The 25,441-nt window shown below is 40.5% G+C and overlaps 1 protein-coding gene across 13 annotated transcripts in view; it reads right to left on the reverse strand.

Moving 5' to 3' along the window:
• The window catches only part of TTC39B (tetratricopeptide repeat domain 39B), a 143,595-nt gene that overhangs the window by 63,521 nt on the left and 54,633 nt on the right, over window positions 1-25,441 (reverse strand). The window contains exon 1 of one of the 13 annotated variants that reach the window (XM_017014312.2): window positions 22,887-23,076. The exons of 8 other annotated variants lie outside the window; for them this stretch is intronic. The gene's annotated coding sequence lies outside the window, so the exon portion shown is untranslated. Of the gene's footprint in view, window positions 1-5,089; window positions 5,586-5,652; window positions 6,186-22,775; window positions 23,077-25,441 lie in introns of those variants that run through there. 4 more of the 13 variants (NM_001168342.2, XM_024447423.2, XM_011517732.3 and 1 more) reach the window with 4 other exon arrangements.

The raw sequence follows: 25,441 nt of genomic DNA on the forward strand, positions 1-25,441 counted from the left end.
CTAAAAATACAAAAATTAGCCAGGTATCGTGGCGCATGCCTGTAATCCCAGCTACCCGGGAGGCTGAGTCAGGGAGAATCGCTTGAACCCAGGAGGCGGAGGTTGCGGTGAGCCAAGATCGCACCATTGCACTCCAGCCTGGGCGACAAGAGCAAAACTCCATCTCAAAAAAAAAAAAAAAGTGCAGTGTCCTCAATTAAGTGGAGTTTTGTTTTTTGTTTTTTTCCCCCATTGGAAGTTCAGACTTCCCAATGCACTCTAATATTTTACACTAGACATTCATTTTTATCTTGGATATATCAAGTTCCCTAAATTTTTCACATCACATAGGGGAAAACTGAAGTTGTTCTTACAAGGGTGGTTAGGTGTGGGTGGTGGGAGGGAAGAAAACTCCACAGGTAAGGGAAAATGTCATTAGAAGACAAGTTATTTCCATCACAAAAACTTCTTATTCTGAGAATACAGGTACCACTTCCATAAATAAGACTCTGGGCAGTGACCATCAGCTCCGTTTACAAGCAGGGAAAGAGGAAGTGACCGACTGAAAAGGCTATCTACCCATTTGGACCATTCTTGCCCATCTGTTCATTTACAGACTCATTTTCGAGGGCTAGAAACACACAGTCTCTGAAATGTACTGTTAAAATATCCCCTTTTCACATTTGCCTTTAGCTTTAATAAAAGTCTCCCCAATATTGAAATTTTTACTTAGTCGTAACTATCACCCTTTTCTTTAACATTCCTGATTTTGAGGGCATACTTAGAAAAACCTTCCCTCTACAAAGATTATATAACATAGTTTTACCTGTGTTTTACTTTTTAATATGTTATATTTAATCGTTTATAATTTAAATAAATGGTACAAGATAGTGCTGTGTAATTTTTTCCCTAATCTTTTGCCATGTTTCCCAAGATTGTTTTTAAAAAAACACATCTTTTCCCCCAATGATTTGACATGCCATATATAACACACTAGATATAAACATAAATTTGGTGTGCCAGGTAAATATTATATGTTTCAAAGTGCTAAAATAATTGGGACTGGGCACGCTGGCTCATGCCTGTAATCCCAGCACTTTGGGAGGCTGAGGCAGGCAGATCACTTGAGGTCAGGAGTTTGAGACCAGCCTGGCCAGCATGGTGAAACCCCGTCTCTACTGAAAATACAAAAATTAGCCAGGCGTGGTGGTGGGTGCCTGTAATCCGAGCTACTCAGGAGGCTGAGACAGGAGAATTGCTTGAACCCGGGAGGCGGAGGTTGCAGTGAGCCAAGATTGCACCACTGCATTCCAGCCTGGGTGACAAGAGTGACACTCCATCTCAAAAAATAAAAACAGTAATAATGAATTGGGAGGCCTTCAGCAAAGATGGTTCCTATACGAGCAAATGGAAACTCAACTCACCGTAAACAGTAAAAACAAAACTTAAGCTTAGCCAATCAGAAACCGCCAACTCACCTCTAACTAAGAACTTCCCACTTGTTCCAGTCAAGTATTTTATTTGTCTTGCTTCTTTAAATACTTCATAAGTTTCCCCCTCCCACTCCTTAAGTAGAACACTGAACTGCTTGTGTTCTAATGATATTCAATTCAGGAATCACTTATGCTCAAACAAACTAGTTAAAATATTACTGTGCCTAAATTAATCTGTTAATAAAAGCTAAAATTATTGTATCTTTACCTGGCACAACAGACTTGACTTTAGCAGAATATAATAATTATTAACAAAATAATGTTACATTTTATTCATCTTTTCTGAGGTATAAAAGATTAGATTCAGATTCTTCAAGTTCTTTATGTTTGTATACACATGTACACGAATTCATGGAAATTCTACAGTATTTCTAGATTTATGTTAATATCACAATAAGCATATCATGCCACAAACTAATTTTTTTATTAAACAGGATTTTTTTAGATATAGACATAACCCATTTATTGAAAGTACTGTCTAGTGTTTTAAGAATGCATTTTCTCATTTCATTAATAAGAAATGCTTCAAATACATAAAGTAGAGAAAATACTATTGCAAACACACAAATATAATCTAGAATCCATTTTTGTGTACAGTCTGAGCTACATTTAATTCTTTCCTGCATGGATAAGCAAGAAATAACTCATCTACTTGTTATAAGAGCTTGGAAACAAGGCAAAAGGAAGACTGCATGTCCTCTCAAGGTCACCTTGGAGCACTGTCTGACAGGCCCACCCAAGGAACATTTAATTCCCTAGGGAGTATATATCTTGTTTGGCTTGCTATTTACTATTAAAACCTATACTCTGTAAAATTATGTTAACTTGTAGATTTTTTAATCTGGTAGATATGCAAATAATTTCTGTGTGGTAAGATTATGGTTTTATTACCTTGCCGGAGGTTAACCAGTGTTGTGCATAACAAACCTTATTTCAACACTTTTTCTTTCCTCAGTTCTCCAAATGCTGTTACCAGGTTTACCATCTTGCTGATTTCCTCACTGACATGCGTTGATTCCATAATTATGATACTTTGACATACTGGATTATTCTGCAATCTCTTACACACAGCAATTTTCCATACGTGCTCAGGTCTGTTTCTGGGCATTCTTTTGTTCCATCACATATTTGCCTCTCTCTGCACTAGTCACACCGTTTTTATTATCATGGCTTTCCGAGACCTGTAAGCCAACTGGGGCAAGTTCTCTACTTTATTAAACACTCTTTTTGTGGGGTTGTTATTATTACACCTACATTCTTGTTTATGAATTTCAGAGTTAGTCATTATAATATTACAAGCAAGTCCTGCTGGAGTTTTGACTGGGAATTCATTACATTATTAGGAAATCTACAGAGAATTGTTGTCTTTATAACATTGCATCTTCACATCTTTACACATTTATTCAGGTCTTCTCTTATTTCCTTCAATAAAGGCTTTTAATATCTGAACACTGCACTGATATGCATGTACCCTTGCAAAAGAGCCATGCTAAATCTTTATACTGGAGGCTACGAAAAATAACACACCAAACTTCAATTACAGCTATTAGTACATTGGAATATATGCCCTTATTTTGCCCTATTTTAACGGCTCTAACTTTTAAGTTTTTAAACAGCTTTATTCAGACCTAATTCACAGACCATAAAATTCACCCAATTAATGTTTACAATCAATGGTTTTTAGTATATTCACAGACTATCACCACAATCTAATTTTATAATATTTTGTCACCAAAATGTATCCATATATTAGCAGTCACTCCTCATTCTCCACTCCACCTCCTCTAGTCCTAAACAACCACTAATCTACTTTTTGTGTCTATAGATTTGCCTATTCTGGACATTTCATATCAATGGAATCATAAAAAGTATGGTCTTTATGCTTGGCTTTTTCAGTTAGCATGTTTTCAAGATTCATTCATGTGGTATCATGTAACAGTACTTTATTCCTTTTTATTACCTAATATTATTCCATTGTATAGCTATACCACATTTTGTTAGTCATTTGTTGATAATATATGAATAATTTGCATTTTGTGGCCATTACGAATAATGCTGTTATGAACATTCATGTACAAGTTCTTGGCCAAGGCATGGTGGCTCACTCCTGTAATCCCAGCAGGACTTTGGGAGGCCGAGGAGGGCAGATCACTTGAGGTCAGGAGTTCAAGACCAGCCTGGCCAACATGGCAAAACTCCATCTCTACTAAAAATACAAAAATTAGCCAGGCATGGTGGTGCACACCCGTAATTCCAGCTACTCGGGAGGCTGAGGCAGGAGAATTGCTTGAACCCGGGAGGCGGAGGTTGCAGTGAGCCAAGATTGTGCCACTGCACTCCAGCCTGGGTGACAGAGTGAGACTCCATCTCAGAAAAAAAAAAAAACAAACAAGTTATTGTGTGGACATGTATTTTCATTTCTCTTAATTATATATCTAGCATTGCTATGGAATGCTAAATTATGGTATGTGGAATTGCTACATTATGTGGTAACTTTATGTTTGACATTTTGAAGAACTACTAGACTGTTTTCCAAAGTGGCTGTGTGATTTTTCCGATTTTTTTAATTTTTATTTTTTGTAGAAATGGTGCCTTGCCATCTTGCCCAGGCTGGTCTTGAACTCCTAGGCTCAAGCAATCCTCCTACCCCAGCCTCCCAGAGTGCTTGGATTACCAGCATGAGCCACCATGCCCGGCCAGCTATGTGATTTTATATTCCCACCAATAATGTACTAGATTCCCAATTTCTTAACAGCTTGGCCAATACTTGTTTTTGTCCATGAGATATGGTGGTATCTCACTGTAGTTTTTGGTGTGCATTTGCTTAATGACTAATAATGTTGAGAATCTTTTTTAAGTACTTAATGGCCAATTGTATGTCTTCTTTGGAGTAATGTCTATTCAGATTATTTTCCCATTTTTAATTGAGTTACTTATCTTTTTATTATTCATTTGAATACTGCTCTAATTTTAATCACTAGGTACAACTATTTTCGAGGGTAAAGCTTACAGCTATCTTTGTTTATACTTTTTCTCTCAATCAAATCATAGATAGCAGAGCCAATTCAAATTTAACTTCCCCAATAAATCCAACACAATATGTTATGTTCCTGCGCAATGAGATAAAAGCTAGTCCATATTTAAAACTAAAATAAAATTTCAAAAATGAATAAAAATATGTCCTTCAAGGTTTTCCATCAACGTTAAAATCTCTCCTTAGGGGAGAAAAGGAATGAGTGTAGATAGGCCAACTGATGTGCTCTGGAAGCCACCATGTTTGTAATCTAGAGTCGAAATGGTATCCATCAAGCCAGTGGAGCCCTCTCAAATCCTGCAGAGACCTTGGCACATCTCACCAGGAGCTCCCCCGAGTCACCCCCACCAGGGCTGGAGCTTGAGCTCGTCACTGTGATACTCATGGGCAAGCTAGGGAATCCAGTTCTGCCCAGCTATGTCCCCCCTCCCCAACCTGAACAAGAACCTCAAGGCACCAGGCACTCCTCTGTCCAGCTCATCACCTGAAACAACAGAGGTCTCATCACAGTAAATAAAAATCAAGTATATACCCATCTGCTTGTGCGGCAAATGGCTCTTACCCATAGGCGCCACCTACTGACCTCCAGGTCAAACTGCACAGACCAATATAAAACCTGCAGACAGAATCGCGCAGGGCCTTAGAAGCGAACCCAAAAGACCCTACCCAACATACTAACGCTATAGTTACACCCCTAGAAGAGGTGGAAACGGGAGGTGGGGGGGACGCCCATCTAAATGAAAATAAATTCAAAAAGAAAAAGCAGTAGCCTCTCTAGATGAGAAGAAACCAACATAAAAATTCTGGCACCATGAAAAATCTAAATGTTGTGACATCACCAAAGGGTCACACTAGCTGTCTAGCAACAGACCTTAACCAAATAAAAACTCAGAAACGGCAGATAAATAATTCAGAGTATGGACTGCAAGCAAGCTCAATGAGATCCAAGAAAAGGTTGAAAACTCAACACAATGAAACCAAGAAAGTAATCCAAGAAATGAGGGAAGAGACTAATATCCTTTAAAAAACAAAAACAGAGCCCGCCTAGCTGAGGCGCGCAGGCAGCAGCCGTTGCTGCGACGCCTCTGGTGTACTAAATCTGGAGGGGAGGTTGGGCCCTCGAAGAGAAGGAGAAGACCCTCAAACCTTGGCTAACGGCGACGTAGCTGGCTTTTTGGAGAGGCCGCCTAACGTTCTGCCACTTCATTGGAATCAGCCTCCGCCCTTCTCAACTGGCTGCTGCAGGGCCAGTGGTGCCGGGAGACGACGGCGGCCGCTCAGGCACGGTTCGAACACTCTGGGGACTCTTTCCCTGAACTATAAAAATTCTCAAACACTGCATACACAGAGAGGATAGGAGACATGGCATTTGTGGATAGGGAAAGAGGAAATTTTGCGATAGGACAGCTGTAGATCCTGTTGCGGACACCCAGCCGGGCAGTTGGAGGCGGGGTCAGTCCAGAAGCCTTCAGATAACACCAGGGTGTAGCCCTGGCGAGAAATCTTCAGTTGCTTCAGGACCTTTTCTAGCCCCACGCGACGGCTAGGTCCTCCGTGAGAGAAAACTGGTTCGAGAAGCATGGCCAACATTCCCAATGATCCGCAGATGTGGTTTCCACCTGGCCGGTGCCATGACACCGGAACACACGGCGACAAGGAGAAGGGAGAAGAAAACCTCGCCCTCTCCCTCTCCCTCTCCCTCTCTCTCCCCACGGTCTCCCTCTCCCTCTCTTTCCACGGTCTCCCTCTGATGCCGAGCCGAAGCTGGACTGTACTGCTGCCATCTGGGCTCACTGCAACCTCCCTGCCTGATTCTCCTGCCTCAGCCTGCCCAGTGCCTGCGATTGCAGGCGCACGCCGCCACGCCTGACTGGTTTTCGTATTTTTTTGGTGGAGACGGGGTTTCGCTGTGTTGGCCGGGCTGGTCTCCAGCTCCTAACCGCCAGTGATCCGCCAGCCTCGGCCTCCCGAGGTGCCGGGATTGCAGACGGAGTCTCGTTCGCTCAGTGCTCAATGGTGCCCAGGCTGGAGTGCAGTGGCGTGATCTCGGCTCGCTACAACATCCACCTCCCAGCCGCCTGCCTTGGCCTCCCAAAGAGCCGAGATTGCAGCCTCTGCCCGGCCGCCACCCCGTCTGGGAAGTGAGGAGCGTCTCTGCCTGGCCGCCCATCCTCTGGGATGTGAGGAGCCCCTCTGCCTGGCTGCCCAGTCTGGAAAGTGAGGAGCGTCTCTGCCTGGCTGCCATCCCATCTAGGAAGTGAGGAGCGCCTCTTCCCCGCCGCCATCCCATCTAGGAAGTGAGGAGCGTCTCTGCCCCGCCGCCCATCGTCTGAGATGTGGGGAGCGCCTCTGCCCCGCTGCCCCGTCTGGGATGTGAGGAGCGCCTCTGACCCGCCGCCCCGTCTGGGATGTGAGGAGCGCCTCTGCCCGGCCGCGACCCCATCTGGGAGGTGAGGAGTGTCTCTGCCCGGCCGCCCCGTCTGAGAAGTGAGGAGTCCCTCTGCCCGGCAGCCGCCCCATCTGAGAAGTGAGGAGCCCCTCCATCCGGCAGCCACCCCGTCTGGGAAGTGAGGAGCGTCTCTGCCCGGCAGCCACCCCGTCCGGGAGGGAGGTGGGGGTCAGCCCCCGCCAGGCCAGCCGCCCCATCCGGGAGGGAAGTCGGGGGGTCAGCCCCCCGCCCAGCCAGCCGCCCCATCTGGCAGGGAGGTGGGGGGGTCAGCCCCCCGCCCGGCCAGCTGCCCCATCCAGGAGGGAGGTGGGGGGGTCAGCCCCCCGCCCGGCCAGCCGCCCCGTCTGGGAGGTGAGGGGCGCCTCTGCCCGGCCGCCCCTGCTGGGAAGTGAGGAGCCCCTCTGCCTGGCCACCACCCCGTCTGGGAGGTGTACCCAACAGCTCATTGAGAACGGGCCATGATGACAATGGCGGTTTTGCGGAATAGAAAGAGGGGAAAGGTGGGGAAAAGATTGAGAAATCGGATGGTTGCCGTGTCTGTGTAGGGAGAAGTAGACATGGGAGACTTTTCATTTTGTTCTGTACTAAGAAAAATTCTTCTGCCTTGGGATCCTGTTGATCTGTGACCTTACCCCCAACCCTGTGCTCTCTGAAACATGTGCTGTGTCCACTCAGGGTTAAATGGATTAAGGGCGGTGCAAGATGTGCTTTCTTAAACAGATGCTTGAAGGCAGCATGCTCCTTAAGAGTCATTACCACTCCCTAATCTTAAGTACCCAGGGACACAAACACTGCGGAAGGCCGCAGGGTCCTCTGCCTAGGAAAACCAGAGACCTTTGTTCACTTGTTTATCTGCTGACCTTCCCTCCACTATTGTCCTATGACCCTGCCAAATCCCCCTCTGTGAGAAACACCCAAGAATGATCAATAAATAAATAAATAAATAAAACAAAAACAAAACAAAACAAAACAAAAAACAGAACTTCTGGAAATGAAAAATTCACTTAAGAAATTTCAAAATACAGTTGAAAGTTTTAACAATAGACTGGACCAGGCAGAAGAAAGTATTTCAGAGCTTAAAGACCTCCAATTCATATCACCAACTAATAATTTTTTAAAAAATAGCTTGAAGACCCATCTTTCAAATTAACCCAAACAAAAATAAAGAAAAAAGAATTTTTAAAAATGAACAAAGCATTTCAGACATACAGGATTGTGCAAAGCAACCAAACCTATGGCTTATAGGCATTCCTGAGAAGGAAGAAGAAAAAGTAAGCAACCTGGAAAATATATTTGAGGGAATAATTCAGGAAACTCCCTAATCTTTCTACAGAGGTGAACATACAGATACAAGACATTCAGAGAACACCTGCAAGACACTATGCAAGACGAACTTCACCAAGGCATATAGTCATCAGACTATCCAAGGTCAACACTAAAGAAAAAATTTTAAAGGCAACTAGAAAGAAGGGTCAAATCACCTACAAAGGAAAACCCATCAGACTAACAGCAAACTTCTCAGCAGAAACCCTACAAACCAGAAGAGATTGGGGTCTATTTTTAGCATCCTTAAAGAAAAAAAAATGCCAGCCAAGAATTTCACATCCTGCCAAACTAAGCTTCATCAATGAAGAAGAAATAAAATATTTTCTAGACAAGCAAATACTAAGGGCATCTGTCACCACAAGACCTATCCTACAAGAAATGCTGAAGGGAATTCTAAACATGGAAATGAAAGGACAATACTCACCATCATAAAAGAACACGTAAGTGCAAAGCTCACAGATCTTATAAAACAACTACACAATTGAAACTCCAAAACAACTAGCTAACAACACTATGACAGGAATAAAACCTCACATATCAATACTAACCTAAATGTAAATGACCTAAATGCCCCACTTAAAAGATACGGAGTAGCAAACTAGTTTTTTAAAAAAAATACAAGACCCAACCATCTGCTGCCTACAAGTGACCCACCTACTGGCTAAAGATACCTTTCGACTCAAAGTAAAAGGGAGAAAGAAGACATAAAATGAGAATGGAAAACAAAAGTGAGCAGGAGTGACTATTCTCATATCAAGTAAAACAGACATAAACCAACTAACAGTAAAAAAAGACAAAGAAGGACATTATGTATAATGATAAAGGATTCAATATAACAAGAAGATTTAACTATTCTAAATATACATGCAACCAATACTGGGGCACCCAGATTTATCAAACAAATGCTACTAGACCTAAGAGAATAGACTGATATCAATACAATTATAGTGAGGGACTTCAACACCTCCACTGACATCACTAGACAGATCATCGAGGCAGAAAATCAACAAAGAAACTTGGGACTTAACTGGGTTACAGACCAAATGGACCTAAAAGACATTTATAGAACATTCTACTGAACAACCACAGAATATATATTCTTTTCATTTGTGCATGGAACATTCTCCAGAATCAACCATATACTCAGCCACAAAGCAAGTCTCAATAAAATCAAATAAATGAAAATCATATCAAGTATTTTCTCATACCAGAGTGGGATGAAATTAGAAATCAATCCCAAGAAGAACTCTCAAAACTATACAAGTACATGGAACCTAAACAACTTGCTCCTGAACAACTCTTGGGTAAACAATGAAATTAAGGCAGAAATAAAAAAATTCTTTTAAATGAATGAAAACAAAGACACAACATACTAAAACCTCTGGTACACAGCAAAAGCAGTGCTAAGCGGAAAGTTTATAGCATTAATTAAACGCCTACATCAGAAAGACAGAAAGACCTCAAATTAACAACCTAACATCACAACTCAAGGAACTAGAAAAACAAGAACAAACCAACCCAAAGCTAGCAGAAGAAAAGAAATAACAAAGATCAGAACAAAACTAAATGAGATTGAGACAAAAAAAAAAAGGCAAGGACTCAATAAACTGGCTGGGCACAGTGGCTCATGCCTGTAATCCCAGCACTTTGGGAGGCCCAGGCGGATGGATCACCTGATGTCAGGAGTTTGAGACCAGCCTGCCCAACATGGCGAAACGTCATCTCCATTAAAAATACAAAAATTAGCAGGGCATAGTGGTGCATGCCTGTAGCCCCAGCTACTTGGGAGGCTGAGGCAGGAGAATTACTTGAACCCGGGAGGCGGAGGTTGCAGTGAGCCAAGATCATGCCACTGTATTCTAGCCTGAGCAACAAAGCAAGACTCCATCTCAAAAAAGAAAAGAATAAATGAACCGAAAAGTCGGTTCTTCAAAAGGATAAACCAATTGGCAGACCATTAGCTAGACTAACCAAGAAAATAAAAGAGAAGATTCAAATAAGCATAATCAAAAATGATAAAGGTGATATTACAACCAATACCACAGAAATACAAATGATCATAAGAGACTCCTATGAACTCATTTATGCACACAAACTAGAAAACCTAGAGGAAATGGATAAATTCCTGAAAACATACAAACTCCCAAGATTGAAACAGAAAGAAAAAGAAATCCCAAGCAGACCAATAATAAGTAAGTAATGAAATTAAACTAGTAATAAAAAATCTTCTGGAAAAAAAAAAAAAAGCAGCTCAGGACCAGATGCATTCACAGCCAAATTTTACCAGACATATAAAGACAAGCTACTACCAATCTTAGTGAAACTATTACAAAAAATTTGAGGAGGTGCAATAACACCTTCTGTGAATCCAGGATCACCCTGATACTAAAATCAGACAAGGACACAACAAAAAGAGAAAACTACCAACCAATATCCCTGAGGAACACAGATGCAAAAATCCTCCACAAAATACTAGCAAACTGAATCCAACACACATCAAAAATATAATTCATCACAATCAAGTGAGCTTTATTCCAGGTATGCAAGGATGGTTCAACATATGCAAATCAATAAACTAAAAACAAAAACCGTATGATTATCTCAATAGACACAGAAAAAACAACTGATAAAATCCAACATGCCTTCCTGATAAAAACCTTCAACAAACCAGGCATCAAAGAAACATACCTCAAAATAATAAGAGCCATATATGACAAACCCACAGCCAACATCATATGGAATTGGGAAAAGTTGAAACATTTCCCCTAAGGACTGAAACAAATGAGGACACCCACTTTCACCACTCTTATTCAACATAATACTGGAAGTCCGAGCCAAAGAAATCAGGCAAGAGAAAGATATAAAAGGCATCCAAATTGGAAAAAAGGAAGTCAAATTATCTTTGTTAATTGATGACATAATCATATACCTAGAAAGCCCCAAAGACTCCTCCCAAAAAGACAGAAAACCCCGAAGACTCCTCCAAAAGACTCCTAGATTTGATAAACAACTTCAGTAAAGATACAAAATCAACGTACAAAAATCAGTAGCATTTCTATATACCAATTATGTTCAAGCTGAGAACCAAATCAAGAACTGAATCCCATTTATGTTAGCCACAACAAAAATCCTTGGAATACATTTAACCAAGGAGGTAAAAGATCTCTACAAGAAGAACAACAAAACACTGATGAAAGAAATCACAGATCATACAAACAAATGGAAAAAACATCCCATGCACACGGACTGGAAGAATCAGTATCATTAAAATGACCATATTGGCTGGGTGTGGTGCCTCATGCCTGTAATCCCAGCACTTTTGGAGGCTGAGACGGGCTGATCACTTGAGCTCAGAAGTTTAAGACCAGCCTGGGCAACACGACAAAACCCTGTCTCTACAAAAAATATGAAAATTATCTGGGCGTGGTATCACATGCCTGTAGTCCTAGCAACTAAGGAGGCTTAAGTGGAAGGATCACTTGAGTCTGGGAGGCATAGGTTGCAGTGAGCCAAGATCGCACCACTGCACTCAGCCCAGGTGACAGAGTGAGACCCTGTCTCAAAAATAAGAAAGTATTTGCAGACTATGCCTCTGACAAAAGACTAACATCCAGAATCTACAAGGAACTCAAACAACTCAACAAGAAAGAAACAACACCATTAAAAACTGGGCAAAAGGCCTGAACAGATATTTCTTAAATAAAATAATACAAGAGGCCAACAAACACATGAAAAAAAAAATGCTCAACATCACTAATCATCAGAGAAACACAAATTAAAACCACAATGAGATATCATCTTATACCAGTCAGAATGGCTATTATTAAAAAATCAAAAAACAACAGATGTTGGATTGCTTATGGAGAAAAGGGAACACTTGTACACTGTTGGTGGGAACAAACGTTGCTTCAACCTCTATGGAAAACAGTATGAAGATATCTCAAGGAGCTAAAAATAGTGCTACCATTTGAGACAGCAATCCCACTGCCTGGTATCTACCCAAAGGAAAAGAAATCATTATATAAAAAAGATTCCTGCACTCATATGTTTATCACAGTACTATTCACAATAGCAAAGTCATAGAACCAACCTAGGTGTCCATCAATGGTTGACTGGATAAAGAAAATGTGGAATAGATACAGAATGGAATACTATGTAGCCACAAAAAGGAATGAAATCATCTTTGCGGCAACTTGAATGGCTAGAAGCCATTATCCTAGATGAAATAAGTCAGAAGCAGAAAATCAAATACCATGGGTTCTCACTTCTGAAAGCTAAACAATAGGTACAAATGCAAATAAAGATGGAAATAACAGACACTTGGTACTCCAAAAGAGGGGAGGGAGGATGGAGGTGAAGGTTGAAAAATTACCTTTTAGATACAATGTTCAATATTTGCGTGATGAGTACACTAGAAGCTCAATCCCCACCATTATGCAATATACCCATGTAACAGACATGCACATGTACCTTCAAATCTAAAACTTTAAAAATAAAAAATGGTATCCACTAGAATTATGAAATGCAGGACTCTGACACACCACTGGAAATCTATTGCTTAATAGTATTAGCTACATAGACAACATTTGTCTTTCTTACTAAAAAAAACTGCTTCCCAGACCAAATTCTGCCCAAGGATGATTCCTCAAAGAGCTGTTCTCATGGCCGATGATCAGAGGAAGGAGGAGGTGCTGCTGCTGACAATGAGAAAGCAAGAAGAGCCCAAAAATAAAAAGATACTCCCCAAGTATCATTTTACTGCCAACTCCAATCCCATTTTGCCAGGCCTGTCACCAGTGCATTCAGAATCAAAGGAATATACTTTCAACTTTTTCTCTCCACTCTGGCCCTGTTCCTCACGAAGGAAAAACAGCTGAAAAAGGCCAAAGGGCAAGCACCAACAAAGGATATAACTGTTCTATTAAACGAGAAACTGGCGAATAGATAAACTAGATAAACTTCTCCCTAAATAATCTATGCTTAGACTTCTTACAAAGCCTTCCTCAATCAAAACTGTAACCCTTAGTATTATTTGTAGGGCGTGGGTAATCTTTAGATTCTTTGTACTTTTCAATGTTTTTTTTTCAATTTTTTCAAAAATGATAATGTACCATTTTAACAATAATGAAAAAAGTTAAGCATATATTTTGAGTAATTTAAGTCTATATTCATGAAGGGAATATTCAAATATTAATTTAAGGAAACACCCTCTGATCATCCCTTTTTATCACACATAACTCAAAATAGTTATCTAAGAAATATGCAAGAACAGTATAATTTATTATTTTTGGCCCTCTCCACATGAAGAAGTCAGAATACATCACTACTCAATGTGTTTCTCATGTTATTTTAGACCTTTTAGAAGTCTTCCAACCTTTCACTACTTTAAAAAAGTCAGTTCTTGAATGTGGTTTTTCTAATTTTATCTTTTCTATTTCCTGCATTGATAACATGCTTCAATAGGTCTACTATTATATTCCTGAACTGCTTTCAAACTTATTACTTTATGCATATTTACCATCTCAATCTGGTCCTTCATGCATCTACCTTTGCTAAAAACGAACAATGATTCATGCCTTATTGAAGGAATCAGCCCTCATAGGAAGCTAAGAGATGGCGCTCTCACGAGTTCTCTAATACCAGCCGTGTTTCCCATCTTTGGCAGATGAGAAAAATGTAGCACATGAGGCCCATGTGAATGTGATATTTGCCAAGTGTCCCTTAGCTCTGTATGGAAAATGGGGAATGACAAGCTCATTCAAATAGATGGATTCATAACTGTTTGAACAGCTTCTCTCAAGAGGTACTTCCCTTTATCATGTGTTTTACATTTGTATCAGAAACTGGGATTAAAATAGAGAATGCAAGGTTAAAAAAAAAAAAACTCTGCAAAACAATGAAACTGGAAAAGATAGCAGTGAATGAACCATAATTTAAAAAGATAATGCTCTAAGTGGATGACTTATATTTAGTAAACTAAAATTTAATTTTTATCCATAAACATTTAGGAATGCCATATTCCAGGCATGGTATCAGATGTTAAAGCACAAAAAATAATAGCATGCCTGCTCTCAAAGATGATACCTGAGTGAGAATAAATTATAAATTCCTGAATTTATAATTTATAAAATCTAACTGAATAAAAACAGGATAAAAGAGATGTGACTTAAAAACATTGTAAAAAGTTGTGAATTATTTTAAATGAATTTGTGAACACAACAGAATATGAATCCTGATACAACTTAAGCTGTATTAAGAAAACTATAGCATCTAGAATGAGGAAAATAGTAATCTTTCGTAAGTTTCTTTTAATTAACTCTTTTTTTTTTTTTTTTTTGAGACAGAGTCTAGTTCTGTCACCCAGGCTGGAGTGCAGTAGTGGGATCTCAGCTCACTGCAATCTCTGCCTCCTGGGTTCAAGCAATTCTCCTGTCTCAGCCTCCTGAATAGCTGGGACTACAGGCACATGCCACCACCACACCTGGCTAATTTTTGTATTTTTAGTAGAAACGGAGTTTCATCATATTGGTCACGCTGGTCTCAAACTCCTGACCTCAGTTGATCCACCTGCCTCGACCTCCCAAAGTGCTGGGATTACAGGCATGAGCCACCGCAAGCAGCCTAATTAACTCTGACTTAAAAATATAATTATCTCTTAATCAGAGTACAAACTTCATAAAGGCAGGATTGTATCGCAGCACCTAGTACAGTGTCTTGCAGGTAATGATCTTCAATACCACTGTGCTGGTTGATTAAATAAATAAACAAAGGAGCAAATGAAGGATAACATCATTCTCCTCTAGTCAGACCAGTCACACCTGGCCTATCTGATGGTCTAGACATACACTTTTAAGAATATCAACAACGGGAAATGCAGGCTGGGCACAGTGGCTCATGCCTGTAATCCCAGCATTTTGCAAGGCCAAGGCAGGCGGATCACTTGAGTCCAGGAGTTTGAGACCAGCCTGGGCAACATAGGGAGACCCCATCTCTACAAAAAATACGAAAAATCAGCCAGGCCTGGTGGTGCATACCTGTAGTCCCAGCTACTCAGGCGGCTGAAGCGGGAGGATCGCTTGAAACAGGACGGTTGAGGCTGCAGTGAGCTGTGATCATGTCACTACACTCCAACCTGGGTGACAGAGCAAGACCCTATCTCAAAAAGAAAGAAAGAAAGAAAGAAGAATTGGAAGAAAGCAGAGAAAAGAAAGGAATATGAAAGCTCCATTCACTAGAAAGATTTTGGTTCATCCTTCTAGACCACCTTCTCTGGAGCAAAATCCTATTCTCAAATGACTCAGAAAATACCTAATAATGTATATACATAGAATAATAAAACAAATATGGCAAAATGTTAAAACTGAATTAAGGGCATTCAGAAGTTCTCTGTGTTATTCTTGCACTTTTTCTGTAAGTTTGGAATTATCATAAAATAAAAATGTTTTTTTAAAAGACTGCTTATTGGCATGATGATTCTGTAACAAAGGGCAGAGACAGCGATTAAATGTGAGTGGCCGCTGGATCTCAGGAACCTGTGGGCCAACCAATGCCAGTGGAGAATGCCAAGCCCTTGGGCCACAGGCACACCAACAGTCCAGAAATCCTTTGGTGGCAGAGGCAGCAAGGAGAGAGGCCAATGCAAAGACAACAGGATGGGGCCCTCTACCAGGCAGCAGTCCCCAGACAGGGGCCATCTGTACACCACCTCTTCCTGCACCCAACGCCATGTCAGAAGGAGGAGAGAGAGGGAAAACCTTTTAAGAAGGAAGATATAAGCCTGATACAGAGTTTAAGTTTTTACTTAACTGGGCATTTACCCCTCCCACATCTCCCAGAAAACCTGAGTCACTCCAAAACAGACTGCTGGAAATTTGAACAGATGATGTAATTTTTAATTGACCACTTAATGTGCTTTTCTGTCCTCAATGGGGATGAAAGTTCCAGAGTAAAGGAGAACAGTTGAAAAGAATACAAGTACATTTTCATATACAATACAAAGCATGATTCAGACCCTACTCATTAAGGGGCAGAGCAAGATGGCAGAATATAAGGCTCCACTGGTCATCGCCCCTGCAAGGAAACCAATTTAACAACTGTCTACAGAAAAAAAGCACTTTCGTAAGAACCAAAAATCAGGTGAGCACTCATAGTACCTGGCTTTAACTTCATGTCAAAGACGCTACTCACTAAGAAAATGGAAAGCAGGCTGGGTACAGTGCCTCACACCTGTAATCCCAGTGTTTTGGGAGGCTGAGGCAGGAGGATCACTTGAGCCCAGAACTTCTAGACTAGCCTGGGCAACATAGCAATAGCCCATCTCTACAAAAAAATAAAAAATTGGACGTATGTAGTGGCATACACCTGCAGTCTTAGCTACTCAGGAGGCTGAGAGGACAGCCTAAGCCCAGGAGTTCAAAGCTGCAGTGGGCAGCACTGTGAAGTGCACAGGCTGTCGCCCAGGCTGGAGTCTCTAAAAACATTTTCTTTTCATTTAAAAAAAAATTTTAGAAAGAAAATGGAAGGTAGTGCTTACTATCTCTTTCAGCAAAAGAAACTACTCCAACAGCTGCTGTTTTCCTTGCCCATAGTCATAGCAAATTACTGACCAAGTTGGAAACTTAGAACCAGAGCCTGTATCTTTTCAAATTCTTTCCTTAGGCAAGCAAATCAGACTCCTTCACATTATTTAAAACAAACAACAATGGAATGTTGGATTGGCAAGAGATAGGCACAGCTCCTGTTTCATTTTGCTAGTTTTCTTTGCTGATTTTTTAAATTAAAAACAAACAAAAATCCTTTCCCTATTGGAGGGTTCTCTTATTTCTGACTGAAAACTTCTTACCTAATCTATGAATTATCCTCTCTTACCACATGACTGGAGCGTGATTTAGGAGAAGGCATGCTGGGACACATAGCAGACCACTGTGTTCCTGTCCTAGGTACGCCAGTCACTGGCGGGCAGTGTGGCTTTGCGCCACTTCCTCACCTCAGTGGGTCTCAGTGTCCCTATCTGCAAAAGCAAAGCAGCAATAACAACACCTGCCCTATGTCCCTCCCAGAGATACCACGAGGAAAGAACGTGCTCCATTTTGTAAAATCGCTTTTTAAACTGAAACATCACATAAATGCAAGGGAATGAAGTGGTGCTGATGTTATTAGAGGAGTTATAGAGGAGTATAGTGGTGCTGATGTTATTAGAGGAGTTATGGGAGCCAAGAACTTCCCATTAGACAGACCATTATATTCCTGCTATTCAGCAGTTCTGCTTAATGCTTCCTGCAGTCATGGGGCAGAGGCCACTGAGGCAGCATTTGCCATTTGCATTGCATCGCTCCACGTTGGAATGCAGATATTTTCAGATGTAGAGCAAATACAGGTTTTCAGTGGGACACTGAATGGGGGGGACATTGTCTTTTCTTTTAAAATATCACCACCTAAAACAAAGAGTAACAAAGTTTTTCTAAAGACAATTCTGACAACAAGTTTTCCTTTTATTTGCCTCATGATCCATGGAGGAAGAAAAAAAATAAAGGCTTCCAAAAAGTCATTTTCTCAGGCTAGATAGTATGTTTCTTCTCTGGGTTCTCTGGTTGGAGTTTACAACTCATAGTATAATTATTGGTCTACTTTTCAATTACAGTGAGTAGCTTATGAGCTTCTTAAGAACAGGAACTATCTGTTTCTTAATCCAGAGATGTTCAATGACTGCTTGATGAATGAATGACATTCTTCCTGATGCAATTAGCCCCTTGCATCAAATTCAGTCTTCCTACTTGGCATTTTATGTCACATATGTAGATCATGAAAAGTACCCATGAATATTTCATCACAGAAACCTTCATTCACAAACAAGCAGCTTTCAGTAGATATAAGGGCTCTCCCTACAAATATCTATTAGTAGGAAAAACAAACAAAACTGAAGAAGGAGCATATAAATATTCGAGTAATTAAACTCTAGAGTTTTTCTTTAGTTCTTCAATATGTGGCTGTTTCCATAGTTAATGTGCTGTATTTATTCAGCCTGTGGTATCAAGCAGGCATATGAAATGGTTTTGCTATACAGGGATGCTATTACTTTAAAAAATAAAAACAAAAACACCTAAGCTAATATTAAGGAGGGGTGATGGCAAATAAACGCTATATATTGGGTCCTGGATTGCTGGAATGAAGGGCTCAAATTCTGTCACAACTACTAACTAAGAAAACAATGACTACAGCCCCAAACCACAAGAGAAATTCAAGTCTTGGTTTCATACTTTCCTGCTTTCTAAATTACAGCCACCTATAATAACTCAAAATAAAATATTCTATAACCCATTAATCTAAAATGATCACCGAAGAAATCCATCCATACCACTTGGTCACTAAAGACTTTCCACATCTGTAGACTGACGAAACATCAAAAGAAAAGTAAACCATGCATGAAATTCACATCAAACTCATGTTCTGTTTGCTCTTCTGCAATTACCACCTAAATTTCTCTGGCTAAGTCAGAGAACTTGGGTAGAATGGCACTGTTAAGTCATTTCTTACCCAAATAAATCACCAGGCCGGGCGTGGTGGCTCACACCTGTAATCCTAGCACTTTGGGAGGCCCAGGCGGGCAGATCACCTGAGGTCAGGAGTTCGAGACCAGCCTGACCAACATGGAGAAACCCTGTGTCTAATAAAAATACAAAATTAGCTGGGCGTGGTGGCACATGCCTGTAATCCCGGCTACTAGGGAGTCTGAGGCAGGAGAATTGCTTGAACCTGGGAGGCAGAGGTTGTGGTGAGCCGAGATCACGCCATTGCACTCCAGCCTGGGCAACCAGAGTGACAGGAAACTCCATCTCAAAAAATAAATAAATAAATAAATCACCAGAGTCACATAACATTTTGGTTAATGTCTTGATGTTAGTCTGCAGAGGGGTATCTCATTAAGGTGAGGAGACTCACCTTAACAAAAATTCAAATCTAACTCTTGGGGTTTTAGTTGAGGAGTTTAAGGTGTATGACTCAGCTGGAAATAGAGAGAAGGACAGAGACCAAAAATTTGGCAAGTGTGGTAGATTATAAACGGCCACAAATTCTTTGTCACCCTTCCTGTCAAGAAGTGAGGTCTATGGCCCCACTTCTTGAATCAAGGTGGTCTCTGTGACTACTTGACCAATACAACACTGTGTTAGTTTGGGGTCCAAATCTTAAAGACTAGCAGTTGCTACTTCTTGTCATTTGGAATACTAAAGCTCAGAACCACATTGCTATGCTGTGAGGAAGCTCAAGCAACAACATGGAGAAGAACAAAGCCCCTGACAACAGTTCTAGCTAAATTCCCAGCTGACAACCAATACTAACTGGCCAGCCAGGTAAGTGAGCCATCATAGCAATGGCTCCTCCAGCTCCAGCTGAGCCACCCCAGGTGATTCCAAGTGGGCAGAGATGAGTCATTTCCTCTGAGACCTGCATAAACTTCAGATTCATAAGCAAATAAATGATTGTTATTGTTTTAAGTCTACTAAGCTCTGTGGTGATTTGTTACACAGCTATTGATATGCAGCATAGGAAACATTAACAGAAGAATAACATTACTGCATCATGAGAAACAAATGACCCATTTGCACTCTTGGCTGACCAGACAAAACTAGAAATAGTGTCCAGTTTTGGTTGTAACCATCTAGAAACTATGACAGGTCAAATTCAAAGAGATCAGAATGGAGAGAAGCATGAAATATGTCACAGGAGAGAGAAGTGACATAACTGAGGATGTGTAGCTTGGATATACGAAGATCCACCAGGGACTGGTAGGGAGAATATTTTACATATTTGAAAGACTACTTTGTAAAAACACTAGAGTGGTTTTATCTTAAGATCAGTGGGTAGGAGGCTGTAGAGAGGTAAAGTTCATCTTCGATAAGGAAGACTTCATTCTAAGGAAGAACATTCTAACAGTCATTCAGAAAGGAAATGGACAAATGGCCTTTAGAATCAAGATGTGCTATAATATCTCTCCTGAAAAGTTACTCCCTACCCTCAATTTTCAAATTTGCAAGAATTCCAACTCATTACAGGAGACAAGTCCTGTGTACAACTCTGAACATGGCGGCCCTATAGGGAATTGCTGATGTTGGTGAACAGCATTCTGGACCTAAAATTCAAGAAACCCTTGATTTTTCCATTAGCATTCCTCTTCTAGGGTGCATGTTTTCCACGTTCCTTAACTGGCCTGCCACTGAAGCATAATCTGCCCATAAGTGCAATCCTGTCCTTTCTAAAGTGAACCAAAGACATAAATGTATATGTGCTGTTAACAGGTGGAAAGCAAGTACAAAATGTTAGGAAGACCTCTGGGCATGAGGCAAAAAAAAACTATGCATTTTCCTGTTTCATAATAGCATGATATTTAGGAGTGCACTGTGGCTTTAGGAGAAAAAAGAAGAAGAAAAAGGAAAAAAAAAAAACGAGGGGGCTCCCCCAACCAACCTATGACTAAGGGACATAATCCAGCAGCTTCAAGGAGCACAGAGTTGCCAACTTTTAGCATGATGGAGTTACAATCAGGATTCTGAGTGACCCTAGGCAACTGAGTTAGTCTTTGTGCACCTCGTTTTCCTCATTTGGAAAATGGGAGCATTAAGGTCAATCAACATGGTTGCTGTTGAAGATTTTTTTTAAAAGCCAAAAACAGATTTACCATAGATACTGGGCCTGGCACATAAGACATTTTAAAAATAATCTAGGTTGTTTCTTCTCCAGTAAAATGGGAAATTGATGACAGAACATTCTAACATAGCCAATTTCCCTTCCTCTTCCACTAAGACTATGAGCTCCTCCAAAGCAGAACCATTTCTCACTTACTGACCTAAACTCAGCACTTACTATAGCACTGACCACATGCTTGCTGAACCAGTTAACTCATTTCCAACATCTCTTTCCAGCTTAAGCATTCTAGGGATCTGTACCTTCAGATCTGGGGCAGAATTAGTTGCAGGTATTTATATGTCCTATATGTTTGGCCACAAAGTACTTACACTTCTACAGGTGAAAAATTACCACAATTTTAATGAAATTAGGTAATCAGTTTTTTAATGCCCTCTTCATCTGCTAAAAATATCTGCTCCATGAGGGAAGATACAATATTTTGTTCAGCATCATATCCCCAGAGCCTGGCAAGAGCTTCGTAACAGATGTAAACATTTTTGAATGAATGAATGAATGAATGAATGAATGAAATGAATGAACGAATATAAGATCTTTGCAAGTTTAAGTAAGGCAGAATTTCCTAATTTTAGCAATCCTTCCTAATTAAATTCAAAGTTGCTGCATTTAGGTATGACAAAATGTTTAAAAATAAAAACAGCAGATGTTTGATCTCTGGGTGGTAGAGAAAATTTCTTTTTTTAAATCCTTGATTTATTTTACCCTGCAGGAAGTCAACCAAAATACTGGCACCCAAAAAGCTCCTATAATATGTCAGCCTAAGTCAAACATATTCTGCATCTACAACGATGACTGTTACCAGTTGGTGTTTAAAAGTATTTTGACTACTGATCTCTGAACATATCAACTTTTAAAAATCATTTCAGCTAATGTAATTTTAAGATAAAGGAACAAAATCAGTAGCCAAATTATATGAATCTGTTCAATAATATGACTTTTATTCAACAAAGACAAATCAGGAACATATGGGGGTTATGGTGAGAATCAAAAATTAACTTATCTTTAGAGAATGCTCAAAACTCACTCACTAATTCAGCAAGGATACAATTCTAACGTCCAGGAAATTCCAAAGGGGGAAAATGGGACACGATGACTAAGGACAGATGTTTAGACTCCAGGGTCTGCGTCACACACACAAAAAAAATACCCAGCATTGATTCTGATGCACAATTTTAAAAGGTGGCCATACAAAGGTCACTTTTTGGTAGCTCACATTTACTGTAATCTGCTACAAAGAGACCACTAAAGCCAGCACAGCAAGGTCAGAGGTGAGAGTCTAGGACAATCAACACATGCTATTTCTGAGGACAAGCCACTTTACTAATCTCTAAGGTTCTAATTACCCTAACAAAACAAAACAAAATGCTATAATGAAACCAGCAGAGGACATAAGACAAACAGTAAATACAAAGTGAACCAGCATCATCCTGCCATTGTTCTGCAGCAGGAGTCTCAGCCGCCCAGACGCACACCTTGCAGCAGCAATAAACCAGCCATGGCATCCCGGGAAGACCAGATCCTCCTCCGCAGCAAGTCACACTATTTTCTTCAATTTCAGCACTCACCTTAGGAAGTTTTAAAAAGGTTGGGGGGAGGGTCAGAGGGGAAGCCAAGCAGGCTTGACATGAAGCTCTTAATGAAGACAATGTCATCTAACAAAAACTGCAGGTTCCAGTGAAATTTAACTGGAGTTTAAAAAATTTACATAGCCTTCCTTAAATTAAACCCTCATAGATTTAAAGAGAACATTTGAATCATAAACCCAGGAACTGCTAAATAAATATGACATACTCACAGATTTAGAGCAGCTGTAACTTTGGAGGAATGAATATAGTCCCACTATGAAGATGTCTTTCCCTCTCTTCTACCAGATTTTTTTTTAAGCCAACTAAAAGAAGAGACAAACCTCAATTTTAGAGCCAACAAAAATCCTCAATTTCTATTTTATTCCTTGGTCTCCAGTGAGACTCTCAATTCTCAGGCACAAGCAAAGTAGTTGCCGAGGCAGCTGACAGCATCCCAGGGCTTTCCAGGGCAGAATTTAAGACATGTCAGTTAAAGTGGCAGCTACACTCACTGCTGTAGCGGATGCTTCTGCAGGAAGGGATGCCGGGAGATTTTTTTTCCCCCAATCTCTGCTGCAGCCTAATTCTAATCCATCACTGTTTAATTATCTAGAGAAACAGGCAAGGAACATACAAATGGCCTGGATTTATAAAAACCACAGAATATTTTCATGATTTTTCACCTAATCCAGGGATTCATGTCCTATCTAAAAAGGGACAATTAAGAAAAAAAAAAAAGAATGATCCCTTTTGTCTTAAGGAAAAATGTAGGCTGTTATTGCCGACTGAGACGCAGATTTTATATCATGGACTTTAAAAAAATACTAAATAAGAGAAAATCAACTTTTCCCCTAAGTTTTTAGATTAATGCACAAAAGTTAAATTAGCAAAGGGAATTAAACACATATATGACATGACAGTCATACCAAGATAGTTGGAAAACTCCACTTTTAAATTGATAATTGATCAACAATATTTGAAGTGGTTTTGATGAAACTAGAAGATAGTAGGCATAGGAAATACTAGTTCAAAGACCCTAAGATAGAACATAGTTCTAAAGTTCAGCTATACTTTTTTGGTTTAAATAGATAAAAGCTCTCCTGGGGAATAAGGTGGTCGTTGACTTCACAAATTTCTTATCTTGCCTCAAGGGCTCTTGCACATGCTAGAATTGAAACGTTTTTAGTATAGGACTCACTAATTTTTCTAATTATAAAAGTAATACCAGGGCTAGGCGCAGTGGCTCATGCCTGTAATCCCAGCACTTAGGGAGGCTGAGGGGGGCAGATCACAAGGTCAGGAGTTCCACACCAGCCTGGCCAATATGCTGAAACCCCATCTCTACTAAAAATACAAAAATTAGCTGGGTGTGGTGGCTCACGCCTGTAGTCCCAGCTACTCGGGAGGCTGAGGCAGAAGAATCGCTTGAACCCGGGAGGTGGAGGTTGCAGTGAGCCAAGATTGCGCCACTGCACTCTGCCCTGGATGACAGAGCGAGACTCCATCTCAAAAAAACAAAAAGTAATACCAGGTAAAATATTGTGGTATTTCCAAATTATAAAATAGTAAATTCCTTGGAAAGAGCTAAAAAACAAAGAAGAAAATTAAAGACAGCCTGTAATCCCAGCACTCTGGGAGGCCAAGGTGGGTGGATCACCTGAGGTTGGGAACTCGAGACCAGCCTGACCAACATGGAGAAACCCCGTCTCCTCTAAAAATATAAAATTAGCCAGGCGTGGTGGCGCATGCCTGTAATCCCAGCTACTAGGGAGGCTGAGGCAGGAGAATCACTTGAACTGGGTAGGTGCAGGTTGCGGTGAGCTGAGTAGCGCCATTGCACTCCAGCCTGGGCAACAAGAGCAAAACTCCATCTCAAAAAAAATTAAAGCCAGCCATAATCTCATAACCCAGAGATAACCACTCTTAATGTTTTGCAATAATATACTTCTAGTTTTCTTCCTCTCTATATATATACGCGCATACACACACACACACACACACACATACATATACATATATATATATATATATATATATATATATATATATGTAGTATATATGGAGGGGACAAGACAGCTAAATGTATTTTTGATACTACTATTTTAAATTACCCTTTTCACACAGAATTGTTATGATTATTTACCCAAAAATGTACCCTATAGTTAACCACTCATATTTCTAAAAGTTCAAAAGAGCATATGCAATGACAGTCCATTTGTATCTGTATGCCTACTATGCACCAGGCACAGGGGATATAGCAGGGAGCAGAGCCCACAAGGTCCCTGCTCCCCTGGAGCTCTCAGTCCAGTTGGGGAGCCAGATATTCACCAAACGACAGCAAATATCATGTGCGCTGTACTACAAAAGAAAACTATAGATTCTTTAGAAACATGAAAAGACCTGGTGTTGTGAAGTTCAGGCTTTTTCAAGGAAGGAAAAGAGAACTGCAAGCCCAAATGCAAAATTATTAGTAAAGTACATTTCACACCTTCATTTTTCCATCAATATAAATATCTCTCATCTAATTTTTCTTTTTTCCTTTCAAAATTAATTAAGTCCAGCTTCCAACTACATTTTTGTGGATAATATGTAACATGTAAGAGAATAATTGATGTAATGTGTACAGATCTTAAGTATTTAATCAATTACAACATATCCTTTAAGAAATTACAAAAGGTGGGCCGGGCGCAGTGGCTCACGCCTGTAATCCCAGCACTTTGGGAGGCCGAGACGGGCGGATCATGAGGTCAGGAGATCAAGACCATCCTGGCTAACACGGTGAAACCCCATCTCTACTAAAAATACAAAAAATTAGCCGGCCGTGGTGGCTTATGCCTGTAATCCCAGCTACTTGGGAGGCTGAGGCAGGAGAATGGCTTGAACCTGGGAGGCACAG

Source organism: Homo sapiens, chromosome 9 (assembly GCF_000001405.40).
Source record: "Homo sapiens chromosome 9, GRCh38.p14 Primary Assembly".
Classification (NCBI taxonomy): domain Eukaryota; kingdom Metazoa; phylum Chordata; class Mammalia; order Primates; family Hominidae; genus Homo; species Homo sapiens.